The 22,444-nt window shown below is 40.2% G+C and overlaps 2 protein-coding genes and 1 long non-coding RNA gene across 19 annotated transcripts in view; 1 reads left to right on the top strand and 2 right to left on the bottom strand.

Moving 5' to 3' along the window:
* Window positions 1-5,831, bottom strand: part of VWA3A (von Willebrand factor A domain containing 3A) — a 64,424-nt gene extending 58,593 nt beyond the window's left edge. For all 14 annotated transcript variants that reach the window (XR_007064857.1, XR_007064856.1, XR_007064855.1 and 11 more), the window contains exons 1-3: window positions 5,721-5,831; window positions 1,427-1,513; window positions 677-800 (exon numbers count right to left, since the gene is read on the bottom strand). Coding sequence is in view for 11 of the 14 variants with exons in the window: in XM_011545742.4 (XP_011544044.1) it covers window positions 677-800; window positions 1,427-1,513; window positions 5,721-5,734 (225 nt within the window). In the remaining 3 variants the exon portion in view is untranslated. The remainder of the gene's footprint in view (window positions 1-676; window positions 801-1,426; window positions 1,514-5,720) is intronic.
* MOSMO (modulator of smoothened) overlaps window positions 5,720-22,444 on the bottom strand; it is an 84,542-nt gene continuing 67,817 nt past the window's right edge. Inside the window, exons 3-4 of one of the 4 annotated variants that reach the window (XM_047434583.1) lie at window positions 12,622-12,728; window positions 5,720-5,847 (exon numbers count right to left, since the gene is read on the bottom strand). In XM_047434583.1, the coding sequence (XP_047290539.1) occupies window positions 5,780-5,847; window positions 12,622-12,728 (175 nt within the window). In that variant the 3' untranslated portion in view covers window positions 5,720-5,779. Of the gene's footprint in view, window positions 5,848-10,837; window positions 11,316-12,621; window positions 12,729-13,717; window positions 17,677-22,444 lie in introns of those variants that run through there. The other 3 variants (XR_007064906.1, XR_007064907.1, NM_001164579.2) reach the window with 3 other exon arrangements.
* LOC105371129 (uncharacterized) lies at window positions 6,141-12,577 on the top strand. Its single transcript, NR_188624.1, has 4 exons — window positions 6,141-6,164; window positions 8,124-8,349; window positions 11,121-11,274; window positions 12,178-12,577. It is a non-coding gene; the product is annotated as an uncharacterized LOC105371129 (long non-coding RNA).

Raw genomic sequence — 22,444 nt, 5'->3', positions numbered from 1 at the left:
CTTTCCTGTAAGTGCCAGAACCTAAGTAAATCATGAGTATTTTTCTGATTGTTTAATTGCCAGCATTATACCTGTATTGTTTTTGACTATCATTTCAAAGGTATCATATTTAAACTCTAGTGTGGGTTAGGTACATGGTTGTGCACTAGCCTTGCTTGAACATGGCAACCACTGATTGCCACTGTGTCCCTGGTAGAATGAATTCTGAGTTCTAGACAATCCACTCACCCTCTTGGGAAGGCACATTGAAGGTCAGCCTAAAATCGTAGTCTGGTCAGAGGTTTATTCTCCTATCATACCCCATTTGTCCAACAGCACTTCCTGAAATGGATTTCTGAATCTCGATTTCAGGGAATCTCAAAAGCAAAGCAAATCTCAGGAAGGGGAATTTTAGAATCAAATGCTTAAGACTTCAGGCCTTGATAACATGATCAGAGTCTTCACATGCTCCTGAATATTTAGTGACATGGCCAAATAGGCTAAACAATTTCTATATAAACAGTATAGAGATTCTTCAGTCATTTCTGAAGGCAGAGGATTAGAGATAAATGCTTAATTACTCCTTTTTCAGTCCTAGAATCCTATGAGAAGGAAGAAATCCCCAGAATTTAACACACTGTGCATTCTCTGAATGATTTGTAGTATCACGACCCAGTTAAAGTGCCATGGTCTTTACCAGTAAGTCCTGTGTCTGGTTAACATGTGTAACCAATAATCCATTGTCCGAATTTTGCCCAAGTCCATTCATATTCTTCTGCTTTAGTGGCTTCTTTGAATCTCTGCCAGTGTTTCTCCTAATGCTACAAAACATAAAGTAATTTGATCAATGCCCCAGCACTGGGCATAGGTTTGATACCCCCAGTGCCTCCTCTCTTTGCCCTAGTCCCTACAAGGATTCTAGAAACATTTTTCTGTGCAGTAACTGAGAAGGATTCCTGCAGAGTCCTGATAAAATGTGGACTCCAGTTCCATGAGATATTTTATTATTTAGATAACTAAAGCCCTCAGGTGGCTATAAGAAGATTCAATGACCATTTACCCAGTCTCACCCTCAGCTCCCATGAGCAAAATGCTGTTGCTGTTTTCGTTTGCAAAATCAGAGAACTAGCCCAGGCACGGTGGCTCACGCTTGTAATCCCAGCACTTTGGGAGGCCGAGACGGGCGGATCATGAGGTCAGGGGATCGAGACCATCCTGGTTAACACGGTGAAACCCTGTCTCTACTAAAAATACACAAAATCAGCTGGGTATGATGGTGGGCACCTGTAGTCCCAGCTACTCGGGAGGCTGAGGCAGGGGAATGGCATGAACCCGGAGGGCAGAGCTTGCAGTGAGCCTAGATTGTGCCACTGCACTCCAGCCTGGGAGACAGTGCGAGAATCTGCCTCAAAAAAAAAAAAAAAAAAAATCAGAGAACTATGCTTACCAATGGTTTTCCAGAAACATATTTTCTTGACCATGGAAGACATGACTAGTTTGTGTAGCCATTGCAAAACACCCAATGCTTATTTTCCTAAAGAAGAAAAGAATACCAGAAAACAGGATAAATGTGGCATACAGACAATAGTTTTGGGGGGTATCTATATTCAGCACAATGCTTCTTTTTCTACATGTTTAATTTTTTTTTGAGATAGGGTCTCACTTAGTTGCCCAGGCTGGAGTACAGTGGCCCAATCATGGCTCACTGTAGCCTTGACCTCCCAGGCTCAAGCAATCCTCCCACCTCAATCTCCCAAGTAGCTGGGACTACAGGCACAAGCCACTATGCCCAGCTAATCTTTCTGTTTACTGTAGAGACGGGGTCTCACTATGTTGCTTTGGATGGTCTCGAACTCTAGGGCTCAAGTGATCCTCCCACCTAGGCTGGGATTAGAGATGTGAGTCACCACGCCCGGCCATTTTTAAAATTTTATTGACAAGGTCTTGCTCTGTCACCAAAGCTGAAGTAATGTGGTGCTAACATAACTTATGGCAGCCTCGAACTCCTGGCCTCAAGAGATCCTCCTCAGCCTCCCTAAGTCATGGGATTATAAGAGTGAGCCACTGTGCTCAGCCAACTCTTCTTTAATTAATTCATTCAGTAAATACTTATTGAACACCTGCCAGGTATCAGGCATTGTGCTTGGTGCTGAGGATACAATGGTGAACAAGATAAAGCTTTCTCAACTTCAACACTTTGACTCTTGGACCGGATCATTCTTTGCTGTGGGGGCCGTCCTATGCATTGCAGGATGTTTAGCAGCATCCTGGCCTCTACCTATTAGATATCAGTAGCATCCCTCCTCACTTTTTCCCAATGTGACAACCAGAAATGTCTCTAGACATTGCTTAATGTCTCATGGACAGCAGAATTGTCCCTAGTTGTAAACCACTAAGATAGACTTTGTCCTTGTCCTCCCAGCGCTTATATTCTAGAGGGGGAGACTGATATTAAAAAACTAAATAAAATAATTACAAATTGTGGAAAGTGTGGAAAGAACTAAAAGGATAATAGAAAGTAATCAAGGGGCCAGGCATGGTAGCTCACACCTATAATCCCAGCACTTTGGGAGGCAGGCTGAGGCAGGAGGTCACTTGAGGCCAGGAGTTCAAGACCAGCCTTGGCAAACCAGCGAGACCCCATCTCTATAAACATAATAAAGATAAATTAGCCAGGTGTGGTGGTATGTGCCTGTAGTCCCATCTACTTGGGAGGCTGAGGCAGGAGGATCGCTTGAGCCCAGGAGTTCAAGGCTGCAGTGAGCTATGATCATGCCACTGCACTCAATCCTGGGCAATAGAGGGAGATTCTGTTTCTAAAAAATAAACAAAAATCCACACCCAAATCCAATGTTACACCCCCTTTTCTCCCTCCTGCTTAAAACTGATCAAAGCCTTCTCTATTTCTAGGATGAAGACTGAGATCCTTCAGATGGCATCTGAGGACTCTCAAGGTCTGGCTGCTCCCACCTACCCCTCTAGATTTCCCACTTCACCACTGCTCTCCTCTGTGTTCCACAAGGGCCTCCCTTTCCAGTTTCTGGAATTCTCTATAGTTCCTTTAACCACAGGGACTTTTCATGTGCTGCTGTCTTTGCTCTGGAACGTTCTTCTTCTCCCCTACCCTAATCATCTTGACATTTCAGCTTGAATATCACTTCCTTCAGGAAATCTCCAGCATCCCATTATATTTCAGTTTCCTTTGTTTTATACAGACTTTCATAGAACCATGCTCTTTTAGGGCAGGTATCTTAATTTGGAACGATACATTCATTAGAGGGATTTTTTAAAATTTGTGTGTCTGTCCCCTTACACTGTAAGTTATGTAAGAGCAGGGACTGGCAGACACTCGATAAATATTTTGAGAAGGGAAGGTGAAGGGGCAGGAGGTTGAAAGACTCCCTTGGTTTTTTTTTTTTTTTTTTGAGACGGAGTCTTGCTCTTGTCACCCAGGCTGGAGTGCAGTGGCATGATCTTGGCTCACTGCAATCTCCACCTCCCAGGTTCAAGTGATTCTCCTGCCTTAGCCTCCCACATAGCTGGGATTAAGAGGCGCCCACCACCATGCCCAGCTAATTTTTGTATTTTTTGTAGAGACGGGGTTTCACCATGTTGGCCAGGCCGGTCTCAAACTCTTGACCTCAGGTGATCCACTTGCCTTGGCCTCCCAAAGTGCTGGGATTACAGGTGTTGAGCCACCACGCCCAACCTGCCTTGGTTCTTGAATTTCTAATTATATATCCCAGGCACGTGTGAGACCTTTCTGTTCTTGGGTTCCATGAGATACCCTGTTTCTTAGAATTCTCTACCTTTTTTTTTTGCTTCAGCTAGCTCCTTTAGCTTTCTGTTATTTGCAACCAAAAAAATACCAGCTAAGACACAGCAAGTGAGAGACTCTGAATAAAGTTGCAACTTAGAGTGTGTGTTCTTGTGAAATCATTAAATTAAACAGCCTAATAATGGTTTGGCAACTTGCTTTTCTCTTTCAAGTCTTTAATCTTTTATTCAGAGGATGCTTTGTTTTCTGGGAAGCACCAGGATAATGTGGCAATGCTTTAAAAAAAAAAAAAAAACTGGCTTTACTTCAGCAAGCTTTCCTGGGAGACTCTAATGGCAGAGACTGTTGAAATAGAAATGCCTCATGAACACTGGCCGCCCCATAGTGTCTCACTTCCCTCTTTCCAGCCAGTGATTAACAGCTCTTAATGAATTCAGAGGACTGCATGGCTAGATTCTGGGGTGACTGGTGCAGGCTGATGGAGAAGGGGTTGAACTGCATAAAATAAACAAAACAAAATAGTGCTCCAGAAAAAGCACGGGGCCGGGTGCAATGGCTCATGCCTGCAATCCCAGCACATTGGGAGGCTGAGGCAGGGAGATTGCTTGAGCCAGGAGTTTGAGAGTAGCCTAGCCAACATAACGAGACCCCGTCTCTATATAAAAAAAAAAAAAATACAAAAATTAGCTGGGCATGGCAGTGCGCACCTGTAGTCCCAGCTACTAGGGAGGATGGGGTGGGCAGGTCACTTGAGCCCAGGAGTTTGAGGCTGCGGTGAGCTGTGATCGCATCGCTGCACTCCAGCCTGGGTGTTGGAGTGAGACTCTGTCTCAAACAAACGAACAAACAAAAAAGTGCTGAACCTTTGGTTTCTTCATCTTTAGAATGGAATGGGGATAACAGTAACTGACCTGCCTACTTCAATGCTGTTATCAAGAGGATCAAATGAAATTGAGAAAGTAGAACTGCTTTGTGAAATATGAAGTACTATACAAATGTAGAATACCATAAAATATGGGCTGCATCTTCAAGCACTTCAGCATATGACACAAAAACAATCATGTGTTTCATGAACATTTATAGAGCACTCACTGCGTGCCAGAGAGAACGGGTGCTGGGGAGATAGACATGAACAGGACGCAGCCCTTTCCCTCAGGCCTTTGCTCAAATGAAATCTTATTAGAGAGGTCTTCTGTGAGTACCTTAACTCAAACAGCACCTCCTCCACCTGGCTTTGTCTTTCCCCACAGCATGTTTCACTATATATATTCACTTATTTACTTAACAGTAAATACATTCTATATATTTGCTTATCTACTTGTTTTAAATTTTCTATATATTTAGTTATTTACTGTCTGAACCCCCGCGCACCCCTCCTACATAAACATACTAGAAGTAGATCCATTTGGGCCGGGACTTAGTAATGTTCACAGCTAGGACATTTTTGCATAAAATAGAGTTTAGAACACAGTAGCTGCTCAAAAAACATTTGTTGAATAAATGCACTCAGAGCAGGTCCAGAGTTTAGGCAAAGGTGAGCTGAATTACCCTGGGAGGTGATTGCAGGAGAGGAAAAGAACAACCAGGCCATGGCAGATGGCATTTTGGTCCAAGGGAGAGAGGGAACCTTGATTATTGGGTGAAAATAATAATAATAATAATAGGAGTCTTTCCTGAATCCCATTTGCTGTCCCCAGGGAGGAAACCACTCCTCCTGTGGAAGTCCTCCTGTCGCTGCCCCTTCACTTGGTCATATGGAGTTGTCATGGCCTGTCTCCTAGACCGGCTCCATGACTTCCTTGTCTACTGGCACCCCAGCATTTAGCCCAATGCTCGGCATGTAGGGAGTGGACACTTCACACCCCAAGCTCCCTCGATCTTCTCACTCAGTCCAGAGCTTAGTATCTGGCCTCCCCGACACCCTCTCACCACCCCTGTCAACCCTTGTGATGCTCACCCTCACCTGTATTTCTTCATTTATTTCTCCATCTTTGGGAGAAGGGCTCCTGGCACTCCAGGGCCTTACTTCTCCTGGATCTCACTTCTGGTTTCTCCAAGCTCCTCCAAGCAACTCAGCAGCGAAGCTTGCCCTGCGGGAATGTGTTAGCTGGTCTCCAAGGTAACAGACTGCACCACTGCAGCTCGGGGCAGGGAAAGGGAAAACCTTCCTCACCCCAGGGAAGAAGTCACCAGCTGTGTTGTTGATAACCACTTCTCCCAGGTCACTCTGCTTTTCTCCACCTCACAAAAACCTGGAAGCAGGATTTAGACCTCTTTTCTAATTTCAGAACCTCTCAGTCAGCACAGAACTATGGTTTAGGCCAGTACAGCCCTGGTGCGTGCCTGTGGCCTTCCTGTGGTAGGAACAGAGGAGAGGTTCCAGAGAACTCTGCCACATGTGTCAAAGGTGGTAACTTTCTCTTCCTTCTCAGATTCCCTTGGGTTCCCTGAACACAGTCCCTGGGAGAGGTCAGACAGTCCCCTATCCCTACCCGGTCCAGCCCCACCTAAACCTGGCTAACACAGCCAAGCTCAGTGACCTCTTCGCATCAGAAGAGATCATCTGCCACAGTGGTTCCTAAGCCCGGATGCCCATGAGAATCACCTGGATTGTTTGCTAGGAAAACATTCCCATTCAGGAGATTGATTCAGAACTGTGAAAAGGTGTGGGAATGTGACTTTTTAACAATGGCCCCAGGTGATTATGATGTAACTAGTCCTTGGCCCATAGCTGGGAATCTCTCCAAACCCTTCTTTTATAGTGGTCAAGAGAGACAAAGTGATGTCACCAAAGTCAACCAACTTGTAAGTCGCTAAAGGATCTGTACTTAGTTTTTCATATCCAGGTCATTTCTCAAATCAGTTTTCACTTTCTGAGAATTTTATAAGTTTTATAAACTTGTAAGTTTTATCAGTTAGAACATGAGGTTGGGTGGTGGCTCATGTCTGTAATCCCAGCACTTTGGGAGGCTGAGGCGGGAGGACTGCTTGAGGCCAGGAATTTGAGATCAGCTTGGGCAACACAGTGAGACTCTGTCTCTACAAAAATAAAATAAAATAAAAATTAGTCAGGTACAGTGGCTTGTGCTTGTAGTCCCAGCTACTTGGAAGGCTGAGGTGGGAGGATCGCTTGAGCCCAAGAGTTCAAGGCTACAGCGAGCTATGATCGCACCACTGCACTCCAGCCTGGGCTACAGAGCAAGACCCTGTCTCAAAAATAAAGAACATATGCCACTTGTGGTAGTCATCATATGGTAGGGAACACCCTTCAGATGTTGACCCCAGCAGCCATGCCTATAGGCCAGGTCAGAAACAACCAACGTGCTCAAAATAGAAACTCCTTATCAACCACTGGTCACTGGGGTTGAGAGCACCATGTATAAGACCACAGCATTTGTTATGTGGCCAGCACCAATAAGGCAGAAAATGAGGAAGATCAGAAAGAGGTAAGAAGGTCATAAGTGGCTGTGAGCAACCAATGGCTACTCGGTGAACAAGAGATGAGGGTCCTTGTGCCCATCTTGATGGAAATTTTGGGTGGAAGGGGCTGGCTAATTTTGACAACATTTTTTTTTTTTTAGGCACGGGAGCCCCAAGCAGGTCGTCTACCACCCTCACACCTTTCTTTGCTTCCTGCATACATGGGTTTTCAACACTGTGCATAGAAGTAAAGTCCAACACTGGAAACTCTTTGTTCCTGCTTTCTTGTACTTGAGCCTACACAACACACATTCTCAATAGATCTCTGCCAGGTGGATAAAGCAGAGTAAGGCTTTCAGACTGTATGACTCATCAAGAGGAAAGCTGTGTGGGTACCATCTTTCTTGGCTCCCTTCGGGATGCAGATCATGATGGCATCCATGGAAAGCATCAGAGCACAACAGACATTTCTCCTACCTTAGGCTCTTGGAAATGGATCAGGGTCAGCTCATCTCTGGTCTTTTATTTAGGAGCTCTAGCGTGGTCCCATCCAGGAATATGGTGGGATATATATTTCAGATATTAATTTGTTTTGTTTTCTTTCTTTCCCCCATTTCAAACCAGGAGCAGGTGCTTTGGGTTGTGTTGAGAAGCAGTAGCCTGAAGTAACTGTTTTTTCTGTCTTTTGTAAAAGCCTAAGCTAACGAAAAGATTAAAGTGACATGCCAAAGCAGGGGAGGTGAGGAATGTGTTTAATGTCATGAGGAAAGTGGGAGTGTAAAGCTTATTTCAGTTAAAAGAGATAGAAACCCAACTCAAACTGGTTTAAGGAAAAAAAAGAATTTATTTGCTTAAATAACACAAGAATCCAGAGATAGTTCTGGCTTCAGGGATGACTTGATCCAAAAGCTAAAGTGATGTTAACAGAACTGTCTTCCTTTCTCAGCTTCCTTTCTTCTAGGATGGCTTGATCAGGAGGCTCTTCAGGTGTGGCTGCCAGCAGTACCAAACTTTTCCTTACAACTTAGCAACTCTATTCCAGCAAAGTCCCAGGCTAGTCACATGCCATGCTAATTTCTGAATCTGTCACCATGACTCTGTCCAAGTCTGGCTTCTGTCGAGCTCTGAAGCCAGAACGTGAAATTGGCCCCATGAAACCACATGGCCCGAAGGTAGGAAAGGAACGATTTTCCAAAAAGAAAGAGCCTTTTTTTTTGAAACCAAAGGGACCATGGTATTAGGCAAACATGCCTCTCAGGAAAGCCAAAGGGGAGATGATATTCTCCCAGACAGATTAAAAAAAAAATCAGAGATCTAAAAATCAGAGGGAGTAGAAACTTGTTCCATGTTTGGTGGCAATACTTTGGTAAGATGGCAATATCTAAGAGAAAGTGGGTCCTTGGTGCATTCAGGGAAGAGTCCAGACACAGGAGTTCCTAGCTCACCAAAGTTTGTCATTCCCCAAGTGTGAGACGAACACAGTAAAACTACTGCCTCATTTAGCCTGGGACAACTGATGTCTCAGCAGTAACATGTAGACAGATGATCAACTAGTGGGTGGTGGCGGGGGGTGGGGTGGGGTGAGGGACTTCCAAATGTTTGAACCACGAACCTCTGCACAACTTAGAGTACTCCAATAACCAGTAAATTCCTACCAGTCCAGTAGAAGGGATCCAGTTGAGTTTTAAGTGCTTTGGGAGTAGGGGTGAGGAGCAGCTGGTTTGGGAAAATTTCCCTGGGTGCTGGAATCCTGAAAGGGCCCCAGTAAAATCAATGCCCTCATCTAGCTTCATCCATCAAGGAAGTCGGCACTATAAAATACCAACAGGCTGGGGCATGGTGGCTCATGCCTGTAATCCCAGCACTTTGGAGGTCGAGGCTGGAGGACTGCTTGAGGCCAGGAGTTCAGGACCAGTCTGGGCAACAAAGTGAGACCCCATCTCTACAAAAAATTTTAAAATTAGCCAGAAATGGTGGTGCGTGCCTGTGGTCCCAGCTACTTGGGAAGCTGAGGTGGGAAGATGGTGGCCCAGGAGGTCGAGGCTGCAGTGAGCAGCCAAAAACCAAACCAAACCCAAAAACCAGTGAACAATGATTACAAAGAGAAAGCTCAACAATGAGAGGGGAATGATGGAAGATTTGACACAAACAACTTAATAAGTGGGAGGTTTTTCTTACTTTTTTTTTTTTTTCTCTCAACAAAGTGGAAAGTGTTTCTAAATAGGGACCACCTTTTATGGTTGTTTGCATTCCACATCCAGAAGAAGCAAACCATAGATTTAGCTGCTCATGTTTGAGCCAAGGAATCATGCAAGCGGGACAAGTTATTTTTATTCCCTTTAGATCAGCCACACTGGCAATGCAGGACAGCAGGAGTCCTAGATCTGAAGTCAGGGAGCCTGGCTGTGAAACCCAGATTCACCAGTTGCTAGTTACAGAACCTGGAGTAAGGTGTTCAGCCTTTTGATCCTTGGTTTTGTAGTCTATAAAACACCACCCTGTACTTCACAGGTAGAGGATTAAGATGACATATGGGAAAGCACATAACACATGAATTTACTGTTAGTTTCCTTCTCTAAACGTAGAGAATGCCACTATTATTTAACCACAGTGCTTTTGAAAATAGGAATTCCTTTAATAGTTGATACGCTTCAGTTAGAATGTCAGGTTATTATGACATTTGAGAAGTTTTTGTTATCCAAGGCCTAAGTTCACAGCAGCATTATCTGCAATAACAAAAATCTGGAAGCAACCTCATGTACATCAAAATGGGAAGACACATATTTGATATGTATCAAATGGAATACTATGCATTTAAAATGAGGAAGCTCTATATTTACTGACACAGAAAAATCTACATCACAAATTAAGTCAAAAAAGAAAGCCACAGGGCATGCATGGTGGCTCCCAGCACTTTGGGAGGCCAAGGCAGGAGGAGACTGGGAGACGACCCTGGTCAACATACTGAGACCCCCATCTCTATAAAAAAAAATTTTTTTTTTAATTAGCAGGCCGTGGTGGCATGCACCTGTAGTCCCAGCTACTTGGGAGGCTGAGGTGGGTGAATCGCTTGAGCCCAGGAATTTGAGGCTGAGGATTGTGCCATTGCACTTACTCCAGTCTGGGTGACAGAGCAAGACCCTGTCTCAAAAAAAAAAAGCAGTGGCAGGTATAGATAATATCTTGCTTTTGTTAAACTGATCAGTAAAATGTCTGTTAAAATACCCAATAAACTGTTAACAATGGTTATCTCTGGAAGGTGGATTGTGGAGGAGGGAACTTTTTGTTTCCTATATTATTTTTGTGTTTTTTAAAAAAATCTACAGATACATGTTATTGTAAAAAGAAAATTTGTGTCCCGGCTCAAGGTCATAATTTCTTTCTCCACAATAGCACATAAGGCAGGAAAAAGTTACTGATAACCCTGAAGGCAGAAATTAGGTAAAGTATTGGAGTGGTGCATGTAAGGGTGGGACTGCACCAAATAAGTTCATTTTGCTGCTTACTACCTATCTTAGTAAAACATTTAGAAGATGAGGTAGTCAAAAGCCTTCTTAGATATGTCAGTTTTTAAAGAGCAATTTATTATGGAAAATGGAAAGGATTTTGGTTCTTCAACTTCTTTGCATTTGTCATAGAAAACAAAGGAATGGAAAAGAGTGAGTTTTCATATTTTTTATTTAAGAAAATACTTGAATTGCCTTAGACAATATTAAATATTTAAACAACATGAGAAAGAGTGCCAGAGGTCAGAACATAGTATTTAGTTCACTGAGTTGCCCTGACAGATAATGAATGGGGATTGATTTAATAGTGACCAAATACACTGGCCATATTTACTAAAGTGCTGTAAAATGGCCAAGTGAGGACAACTGCATCTAAAATGAGATCAAATCCTCGAGTCCATTCCTTTTAGCAGAAATGATTAAAACCATCTTGGCAGGACCAAGTCTTTGCAAAACCTATCAAATGGATGGATGGCTTCAAGACAGCAGAGAACCCACAAGCTTGAAGAGGCCTCCGGAGAGTTCACTCAGGATAAACGGGGTGCTGGCATCGTCCTGGTCCTCTCTGTACAGTAACAGTGTTACAGCCCTGTGAGTTCAGTAGTAAAGGATCTGGAGTCCATGGGGAAATTCTAAGGAGATCAATGGAACTGATATATTATATAGCCAAATACTTATTAATAAAGTAACCATCCTTATAAAGGCTGATTTAGGCAAGCCTCTGCCTTCAGGAGGAAGTTCACTGAAACAAACCTGGCAGATTGATGACTCTGTCTTTCAAATCTCCAGGAAATATGGTTTCATAATTTTTCTTTATCACCTAGCCCCAACTTTAATTTTCATAATTCAGTGTGTAAAGCACTGTGCCAGGTTTCTAGTGAGTACACAATGAGGAAGCCATACTCTTTGCATTCAAGAGTTTATATAGTTATACAAAAGCACTTACTAATGACAATATCAGCAACTAACATTTGAATGCTTACTATGTGCTTGGAACTTTATCTCCTTTAAACCAACAATAGCCCCATTAAGTGGGTAATATTATTAGTCCCATTCTACAGATGAAAAAACCAAGGCTCACGTAAGTTACATGATTTACTAAGGGTCACACAACTGGAATGGTGGAATTGAGATTTAATCCAGGCAGTCTATGCCTGTTTAGCAAGTTCTGTTACAGAAGCATAAGAAAAAGAGACACAAAGCACAAAAGATTAGATATATTTCAAATATGGGAGGACTTTAAAACTGAGAGGAGGTGGTACAGACACAACCGGGGCAGGGAGCAGGTTGTAGTGAATCTAGAATGGAGAACAGGCTGGTTGTCAGTAAGAAGTGACGAGAGAGAGAGGTGGGAAATGACTGAACAGAGAGCTTGAAGCCAGATCACGAAAGCTTGTCAAAGCTATGCTAAAGGAGTTTGGATTTCATTCTGTAGACAATGGGAATGACAGAAATGTGAACATGGAAATAATATGCTTTCTTTTGTGTTATGAGTATCTTGGCAGAATTGATTTGGATGGATCAGAGTGAATGGAGACCAGTTGAAGGAAGACTGGTTCAATGGCTAGAGAATATGAATGTTGGTCTTAAGTCCAAGGCCCACATGTCAAAGACGAGTGCTCTGCTGATATCTAGTTGAGTGACTTTGGAAAAGTCTGAGGCCTCGATTTCCTCACCTGGAAAGTGAAAACACTGGACATGCTCTTTGACATTTCATCCAGCACTGAAATTTTATAGTCTTGTGAAAAATCTCTTCTTGAAATGTTATCTTGGGTGGTCTTAGATTGTGTGTGACTGGAACTGGGGCTGATTTGTAAAACCCTTGAATGTGCTTGAAAATACCAACCCACAGTGTTTTCTTCTCCTGGGAAAAGAACCAAAACTCTTAAAAAATATACATTGTGCTTTCTATCTTTAATACCATTTATAAATAACTACCTTTATTTTTGTTGCTGGGTAACTGTGACCCAGAAGAGTTGACTTTGCATAAAAGGAACCCAGAGTCCTCTAGTCTTGGTGTTTTTCCTATAATCTTCTCATAGTGGCTAGAATAGAGATGATAGAAGAATAAGTCAAAATAAAGTATTTTTGAACCCATGTTGTTTTCAAAGCCACTGTGTTACCTTTTCCTAAGGTATTACCAAATAGAAAAAGTGTCCCCTCCACCATAGCAGCTCAGCATAAATCTACCATTACAATTTCCAATTGACCTATTCATTAATGTTTATAGAAAATAACCCCCCAAAAACCTCTAATCTGTGTTACAAATCAGGAGAAGATTTAGATGATGTGAAGATAGGGTAGGGTGACCAACTTATCCTAGTTTGCCTGGAACTTTCCCAGACATAGTACTTCAAGTCTCACCTCCAAGGAAACCCCTTAATCTTAGAACCCAAGAACATCTAAATCTTACCATGTCTTAATCCTCCAATTCCCCAGGAGGCTCCTCAAAAGGCCACACAAGGAAGAATCAGCAGCAAACTGTAAATATTTTATTATTATTATTCGGTTGGGCTAATCTTGACACCCCCAGAGAGAGCTATAGTTAAGCTGTGACAGGGCCTAAAGGCCTCTGTATTTGCTCCTCCAGCCCATACTTTAAGATTTTAAAAGCTAAGATCTTTTGGCCTGGAGTAAAGTAGAAACAGAAGACTGAAGCAAAGATGGACTTGGGTCTATGTGCAAGGAAGAAAGAATAGAAAGATAGTTGGCTTGAGGGCTTTGGCTTGGTTTCTCTCTCCTAGCTCATGGAAGCATGACGCAGAAGGGAAAGCCACATGTATGTGGTCTTTTATTGCTGAGTGACTCTTGGGTAATCATGGCCTAATCCACGTCCTGGAATATTAATGGCATCTCTTCTCTAGCGGTGAGCAAAGAGTGGGAGTGGAAGAAGATAGGGAAAGACCGCCCTCACCCCCCAATGCCAACAACAAAAAACCAACCCAAGAGGCATGGAAGTGGCACTTGTGAATATGTGAAACCTCCATAAGAAATCAATTTTTTAAATGAAGCTTATTTCAAAGTAATAGAAGCCTTTTTAGTTTCTTTAGTAGACAATTTATTTTGATAAACTTGCTCAATAACAAAAATACAAGTGAGGAAAATTATGTTCATTTTATACAGTTGTATTAACAATTTGTTTTGAAACTATTAATTGAAAAATGTTATAACCAATTAGAAAACAATTCTTAATAAAGTTTGGGATAATATACAGACCTTGATCACAAACTTCAAAATCTCTTGAGGTGATACAACTAAAAGTCCTGTGTAGGGAATCCTACCTACACGGGCCACTTTTTTCCTTCATGTTTTTATCCTTCAAAAATTTTCTGAAAGACAGCTTACTGTTTTGAATTGTGAATGTAAATTTAATTTTTTAAAGATGAAGTGGGTTGATAAAACAGTTACTATAATCAGAGTAACTTGTGGCTAGTAGTCTTTTAATAAAGACAAAATAAATGCAACATGTTCTTCCCATGAAGCCCATGATGCAAAATAATAGCTAACAGCATATGCAAAGTTAGTTTCCAATACTGTATTTTTCAGGGCCTTTCCTCTAAATCAACAGATTGTTTGTCACCAGGACTATTTATTATTTCACTTAATAGATTAAACAGTGAATTCACAGAACATCAAGTGGGGATATCAAAGCTTTAGGCAAAAGGGTAAAAACCAATAGTGTTTTGGTCATCTAGAACATTAAAAAGAAAAAAGAGCCATCCTTCAAAAACAAAACAAATGAAACAGAAAATAGGTTTATAAGAGGTGGAAGAGTCAGAAAAATTACATACACACATTAACAACATAGAACATGGATTACCTTTGGAAAGAATCATACTGAAATGTTTGCTTTTAATAAATTGAAGATTTTTCATGTTTACAGATGTTTGGGTATGTTCAATAGGAGCTTCCAAAAATGTCAAACTAATTCAGTCTTGTGCAAATAAAACCTAAAAATAGTTTTCAGCAGATTTTACAGTGATATTCTTAGGTATGAGAAGAATGCACACACTCTAAAAACAATGAAACAGACAAAAGTTTGACAAATGATTGCACCATAAAACAGTGTTTTATATACAGTTTACAAGATACGATTTCCTGCTATAAATTAATACTGTACTATATAGTACTTATTATAGTGACCTTTTTTAAAAGCAACTGCGGACAGTTGTCTATCTTTTCACTTATAGGATTTATAGAAATCTATATGAATGAATCCATTTCAATGTCTGGTCTGCAAGAGTACGAAGACTTGACTTCACATACTACTTGATGGGATGGTTTAATCCTGGGTTAGAGTGCTGACTGGCTAGAGGGAGTTTTCCCCCATCAGCCCTGTATGCACTGGACCTCCAAGACAACAATGAAATTAAAGACAATTTAATGGTTTGGGTAATAGATACAAATAAAACCTTAAATTTTGTAATCTTAAATGCAATACCACCATAAGTGAAAGAAGTAAACAGTGGGGAAATTCTTAGCAGCTGAGAAACTTTCTCTCCCCATGCTCATGATCCAGTTAAAAATATTTTGAGAAACTATTTACAATACAATTCATCTTTTGGAAGAGAAAAGCTCTTGGTCATGTCATAAGTTAATTTGAACCATACTTTGCTAACACTTTATCTCAGTGGTATATAACGGTGACAACCAAAGCTTTCCTTCAAAGTGATCCATTTGACTGAGGACCAATCAAATCAGAATAGCAACTGCAATCCCAAATGTCCATAGAACATGTCCAGTGGTATTCTTAGACTTGACTAGACATCATCATACTTGGGGAGAAACAGTCTCCCTCAGGATCTCCCAAAGGTTTCTTTTACTCTGGGAAGGAAAAGTATGACATTCTCCCAGAACACTTAAGAAATGCACCACAGTGGTGGTCCATCTCTCTCCCCAATTCCTGAGTGAGCTCAAACACTGGGGTTTTCTTTCACAATAAAATACTGCTGAATTAACAGTAAGATAGAAGACTGTCAAACAAGCCAGTGTGAAACACATCAAGCACCTCCATTTCATAGTGTGAATATCTGAGGAGGTAGCTCCCATCTTTGAAGTAATCATTCTAGAACTGATAATCTAGCCTTAAAAACAGTGCGTTCATTTCTGCTTGTGTGAAGCATGGGCCACATGGGACTCTACTGACAGGGAGTCATTTGGGTCATCAGTTCACTATAAATGACAGGGACATTTGGGTCACCAGTTCACTATAAAGAGGAGAAACTTAGCTCCACTGCCATGAAACACCCTGTCCCACATTTCAAACAGGAGATTATCTATAGTGTTCACCAGGAAAAACAAGCATTGATGCGAAGGCATGGAGATGTGGAGAAGAGAAATACTGTATTTTAAAACTGTGAGTTCAAGGGTTAGCTGCAATGCTTCTTTTAGGGAAGAACTTAAAGCTGTGGGTTTAGTACAGCCCTTTAAAGTAAATGCAAAAATATTAGCTTTTAGCAAACAAAGGCATATAACATATAAAGAAAATATTGTATTGCTCAGGTTTTGGTAAAGATGTATTAATAATGCTTACAGATAAAAATAATGAAATTAGTGTTGTAAATAGCCAAAATAGCCAGATATTTACTAGCGAACTTTGTATTTATGTAAAGTGTGCCTGAACATATAAAATGCATTATTAATGTAACAGACTGAGCCAGTAGAAAAAGAATCTCTGTACAACAGACAACAGTTGCCAATAATTTAAATAGTGTCAGATTCCCCAAATTATAAGGTTTGACATGATCTTACCTTCTACTATCATATACAAATAAATTAACCCTACAAATAATTTTTAGCTTAACTTAAAATCGCACCTAGAAAGGTATGGGATTATCTGTACCTATTACAAAAACCTGTTAAAATCAAGGGCTGCTACAAAGAATGAGGTAAACTGAAGACTCTCTCCACTATGCAGCCTTCAGATAAATGGCTTTTTTTTCTATTGGGTTCTAGGTTTGCACACCACAGTGTTTTGCTAGCAAAGCATTCAGAATTCTCTTCCAGGAACTGTTTGCATGTGTGTGTATATAAATTTACACACACATACACACACACACACACACACATATATACACACTGTATACTGCATCAGCAAAATATATATATTATATATATTTATATAAATATAAGGAAGATTTCCCCCACCCACCCACCCAAAACATGTGTCTTAGTGTTTGATTTTTTTTTTTTTTTGTACACAGAGAGAGGGAATTTCAGAATTTTTACATACATTTTAGCAAACAAGTTTTGATCTATTGGCTTCTTGGTGCAGTAATGCAACGGCAATCCATTCTGGTGCCAAAGGCTCATACTATTACAAGGAAGTTGTGAACACTAATTTCTTAGGAGGTGAGGCCAGCCCCACATGAACTTCTCTTGCATCCCTCTGGTCCACCATGACACATAAATACTTAGACTTTTTTTTTTCCTCTAATGAATCATTAGACATTAAAAACGGAATAACAGAGTCACAAAGGGCCACATGCTTTTCGGTATAAAGCATTCTCCTTCTCTAGGTTGCTATCACAGTGCAGACCTGACTGCCTGAATATGCTCAGGAGATTTAGTCAATATTGTCTGTATTTGGTTATGGAAAAGGCTCTCCTTTTTTTTTTTTTTTTTAAATCCAAAGTGCATAGTGAGAACAAACCAAAGCATTTTTTTTTCCTTCTCAGCATCAGTTTCATCTGAGCATCTTCCCATGAGAGGCCTGCTCAGATGCCTCGCCTTTGTCCTCTCCACCCTCCAAAAATAAAAAAATAAAATAAAATAAAAAATAATAAGAGTCAAGCAATTTAGACATTCATCAGCCTGGTAAACAAACTTTGCCAGCAAATAGAAGTCCTACTATTGTAAAGAAAATTGATAAGACAAAAAGTACATATGATGACCCAACTACTGTGTTGTTGGGTAATTTATAAGGTTGACCTCCGACTTCATTGATGTAAAATCCTATTGGAAATATTAGGGCAGCCATACAGAAAAGGATCACTGTAAAACAAACCAAAACACAACATTAGTAACATGGTTTGGTGATTTCAAAAAACAATGAAAATTTGGCACAAAGGAAGCTTGTAAGAAGGGCTGGCCAAACCTGTTAAAACATGGACCACTTGTTAAAAATGTGTATATATTTCAGGTCACATAGTATCCCTGAAGCCTAACAATACAGTAAAAGCTAGGTTAGGCTTTTATGTAAGTTTTAGGACAATTCTGAATATCAGGATTAAGAAAGTCCTTTTCCAAACCTACCAAATCCTCACAAATACGATTCCTAGCCATTTACAATAGTAATTAAGGGCACTAGCTAGAGTCAGATAGGGGCTCAATTCCAGCTCTATTGCCTACTAGCTGTGTAATCTTAAGCCTCTGGTTCCCTTCTGAAAATGGGGGAAATACTAGAAGGATAAATAAAATAATGTCTAGTCCCTGACACAGTGCCAGGTAACAGTAAGTGCTGAATGAGTGCTGCATACCATTATCACAATAGTTACTATTCTGACAATTCTCTGTTCCTCTCAGTGTTAGTGAGAAGGAATTGGAGAAAAGGTACATATAAATAAGCATCACTTATCTTACTCTGATTTAAAATCAGCTAGTAGAGGCTGGGCATGGTGGCTCATGTCTGTAATCCCAGCACTTTGGGGGGCCGAGGCGGGCGGATAACCTGAGGTCATGAGTTTGAGACCAGCCTGGCCAACATGGTGAAACCCTGTCTCTACTAATAATACAAAAATTAGTCAGGCGTAGAGGTGCAAGCCTGTAATCCCAGCTACTCAGGAGGCTGAGGCAGGAGAATCACTTGAACCTGGGTGGTGGAGGTTGTAGTGAGCCAAGATTGTGCCACTGCACTCCAGCCTGGGCAACAGACTGAGACTCTGTCTCAATACAAAAATAAATAAATAAAAATAAAATAAAACCAGCTAGTAGAAATAACCTCAGATCTCTGGGATTAGTAAAGTGTCACAGTGGTTATCTCTTATCATGGATAATATTCCAAAAAATAAAATCTCTGTCTGGTTTCTGAATACCCAGAGAGGTAGGTTAAAGTCAGGGAGGATAGGTAACCTTCTTTGAGTTTTGCATGTAAACACAAAGGAGTATATTATTTGTTAAAATGTTTTTAAAAGGATATCAGAAAACCCAATGTCCGGGTAAAAGTGATTCCACAGTCCAGTGTTTCAGCAAATGGCCTGCTCCCTTGTGCTACCAAAGAAATGGTCTTCTTAGTGAACACAAACTATTTACAGATAGGCTAGCTTTTCCAAGAAAATATTTTTGCTTTTTGAAAGCATATTGCTCAAGTGTTCATTGTCCTTCAACTTTCTCTGGAGGCAGAAATACTTCTTCAGTGTAATGTGAGGACAGATTACTAGGCACTGTACATGAAGAGTTGGACCTTCCATTATTAACTGAATGCGTTTTCACCTCCAGGTGAAAACTATCCCCCAGCAATACTAACAGAGTCCTGGATAAACATTTCAGCTGACACTCGTCTCTACATTTTTTTGTGTGTTAACCAATCAACAAAACTTTCAGAGTTTTAAAAAAGTCAATTAGGAACCCCTTCCAGAAGGAATAACTCCAGCAATACAATGAGAAAAAACATTTGCTTAAGTAATACATCAGCTTAAGAAACAACAGCACTCTTACTTGTACGATTTAGGTAGATTATTTTATATTATACAAACTTACAGCTTATTTCATTTTGGGCAAATGACCACACCAAATAATATTACATAAGCAAACTTGGATTTTTTTAGATAGCTACTATAGAACAAATGAAAAATTCAGGCATTATGTTTTATAGCTTTTAGCTTTTTTGTTGCATAGTCAGCAACAAATAACTATTAGTGCTGCCAATGCCCACTTATCAGTGTTGTCTGTCACCAATTTCTAATGGTTCCACAGCTTAATATGGTCTGGTGAGTAAAATGAAACCACAATTTAGGTAACTATACACAATCTAATTTAAAAAACAATGGGGCAAAATTATTGTTGTAAAACAATTTTTTTCTTAATGTTGACTAATCTCAAGAAACAAGTAATTTAGAAAAGTACTTTAGGAATATGCAGATGTTAAATTTGTTCATTATGTTGACATGCCAACTTTGTTCCTATCATTTCCTATTTTCTACTCTAAAAAAGATCTATCCTTTATAATGGAGTAATCATTCTGCAACCAAAGAGTTTAACATTTTCAAGAGTTAAATATTTTCCAAATTTGTTAGAAAAGGCTTAAATTTTAAGGGAACAATGAAGTCCTGTTTAACCTTAGTTTTAAATCCAAGGAAGCAGGTTCTCTATACTTCCTGGGAGCAGATTTAATGCAGGTGGATGAGTTTTTCTTTTAAGCTATTGTGAACTATTAAGTTACTTTAGATCTTAAAATATTATTAATGCTGATAATATCAAACTTTGAAGGCTGAGCTTTGGATCCTAAATAAGTTTGTAAAGACACAATTTCATATCCTCCATGGCACAGATTTCTTGGTGGCGAGAGTCAGAAATCAGGTGCACTGGTAGGTGAGGGTGGAAATCAGGGTGGCAAAGGAAAGAACAAGGGCCAAACTTGAAGAACAGGACGACTCATCTTGGTTTCTCTTGCCCCCATAGGGAACCCCCATCATGTGGGGGCTCTTCTCTGAGACATATTTCCCCACTGTGCACGGCCATCAGAAGATATCACCCTTACATTATTATGAAAACTATAGCTTAACGGGAATAGAAATACACATAATAAAGTACATTTTTCAGGGGTGGAGTGGAAACACTAGGGGGCGCCCAATCCCTCTCAGAACTGTCACCCCAGCCACTCGTTCTGGTACCAAAAACAATGTATTTAAGGAAGCTAAAAGCAAGGCAGCCCTTATCCTCACCCTCAAGGTCCTCATGCACCAGGGAGGTTCTCAGAAGCCTTGAGCCATTAGACTCATTAACCTGTTTGACTAGGGAGCCCCAGGAGGTCCTCGGTGGGGCTGTCACGGGATATGGGGGAGCTCTATGCTTGCTTAAATGAAATTAGCTCAAAGATATATTACGTTTAAAAACCAAGATACAGAACAGTAGAAAAAATTTTACATAAATATGTATGTATGGAACACACACATAATAGATATGTTTCTGTGCACTGAATACCTCTAGTAGGAAACCCCAGAAACTGGTAAAAATGGTTGCCTCCAGGAAAGGGGTTAATGGGATGGCTGGGTGACAGGGCCAAATATGATTTCACATGGTTACCCTTTCAGAGATTTTGAATTATGCATCATATGCACATATTATTTCAAAAAGTTAAATTATTTAAAAAATAAAGAAAAAAATACATTGCATTTGGGGGCAACTACACATACTTAAATATTCTCTGCTTAAGGGGAATGGAAAACAGATAATCCTAGTTCTTTCCCTTTATTGGGTCATAAGAATCTATAGCTCATGAGAGCATATAACGTTTCGACTCACACTACCTTGCTAAATCATATTTTAGGTTTTTGGTATTCAAGGCATATGCATTCCCAAATTTCAACTAAATCCAGAAACTAAATCCTTCTTTGATATTATTTCACTCCTTGAAGAGTGATTTCTATCTGGATTAGTGAATCTGTGAGTAAAAGATAAAGAAGCAGATTCTCTTTAAATTTCTCATCAATATCCTTAACTTTAGCCGCACTGTTTCTACGATTGCTTCTGGACCCTCTCTCCAGAAAAGAATTGTCTCAGGAGGTCTGTTGGACAGGGGAAAGGTCACCAACTTGTTTCACTCTGCTTAACAAGGATGGAGAACCTTTTTTATATAAAAGGCAACTTGATCTAAATTTAAAAATTAAGGGCAATATAGATAAACAGAGTCAGAAACATACACATTAAAGAGTATCAATTTCAGAGAATACAGGAAGAAACAGAGGCTCATGAAGGAATATCACTCTCCTGCAGCCCTTTAGGATAAACTGAGTTTTAACATTAATAGGGATACAAGGGATTATCCCTTATCCCAATTATATGCGTTCTAAATGAAAATATCAAGAGAAAGTCAGCTGTTATATTTATTTTTAAAAATGTATGCAAACCTGAGATTATTTTAAGGCACTGAATTAAAAGTCTCATTTGCATAGGTATTGTTCTCCTGTTTCTTTAGAGCAGGATTTCTAAACAGTGGCTCTACTGCTACTTGGAACCAGATAATTCTTTGTTGTGGGGGGCTGTCCTATGTATTTGTAGGACGTTTAGCAGCCTCCCTGCCTCTACCCACCAGCATCCCCCTAGTTGTGACTACCAAAAATGTTTTCAGATATTGTTAAATAACCCCTGGGGTGCAAAATTGCTTTGGAGAAAAAGAAGCACGAAAGCAGAATTGCAGAAATGTCTTTTCTTTGTGCATTTTTGTTTCTTCTGTTTAACTTGAGATAAATCTCTGATGTGTTGTGAAATTAAACCAATTTTGCAAAGTACAAGAGAATGTGTAATATATAAGCTTATACCCTTGGGCAGAGCTTAATGGAGTAAGAAATATTGATAAACAATTATTAAATAACAAAATGTGTTGATTTTTCAATGGTTACAACATACAGCAGAAACTCAAAATCAATATTAAAAAATATTTCCACCTTCATCTAATTTATATTTTTATGTATTTGTTCTATACTTATCTTTATTTTGATAGATGATACCAATAGCTTCAAGAAGAGGAAAAGACTCAGGCTACTGGTAACTCTGAGTCACAAACCTGGAACACTTATGTCACAATCTGAGCAAAAATAAAATT

This window comes from Homo sapiens, chromosome 16, assembly GCF_000001405.40.
Source record: "Homo sapiens chromosome 16, GRCh38.p14 Primary Assembly".
NCBI classification, from domain to species: domain Eukaryota; kingdom Metazoa; phylum Chordata; class Mammalia; order Primates; family Hominidae; genus Homo; species Homo sapiens.
The sequence above is the reverse complement of the archived record's forward strand: the minus strand, read 5'-3'. Positions and strand labels throughout refer to the sequence as shown.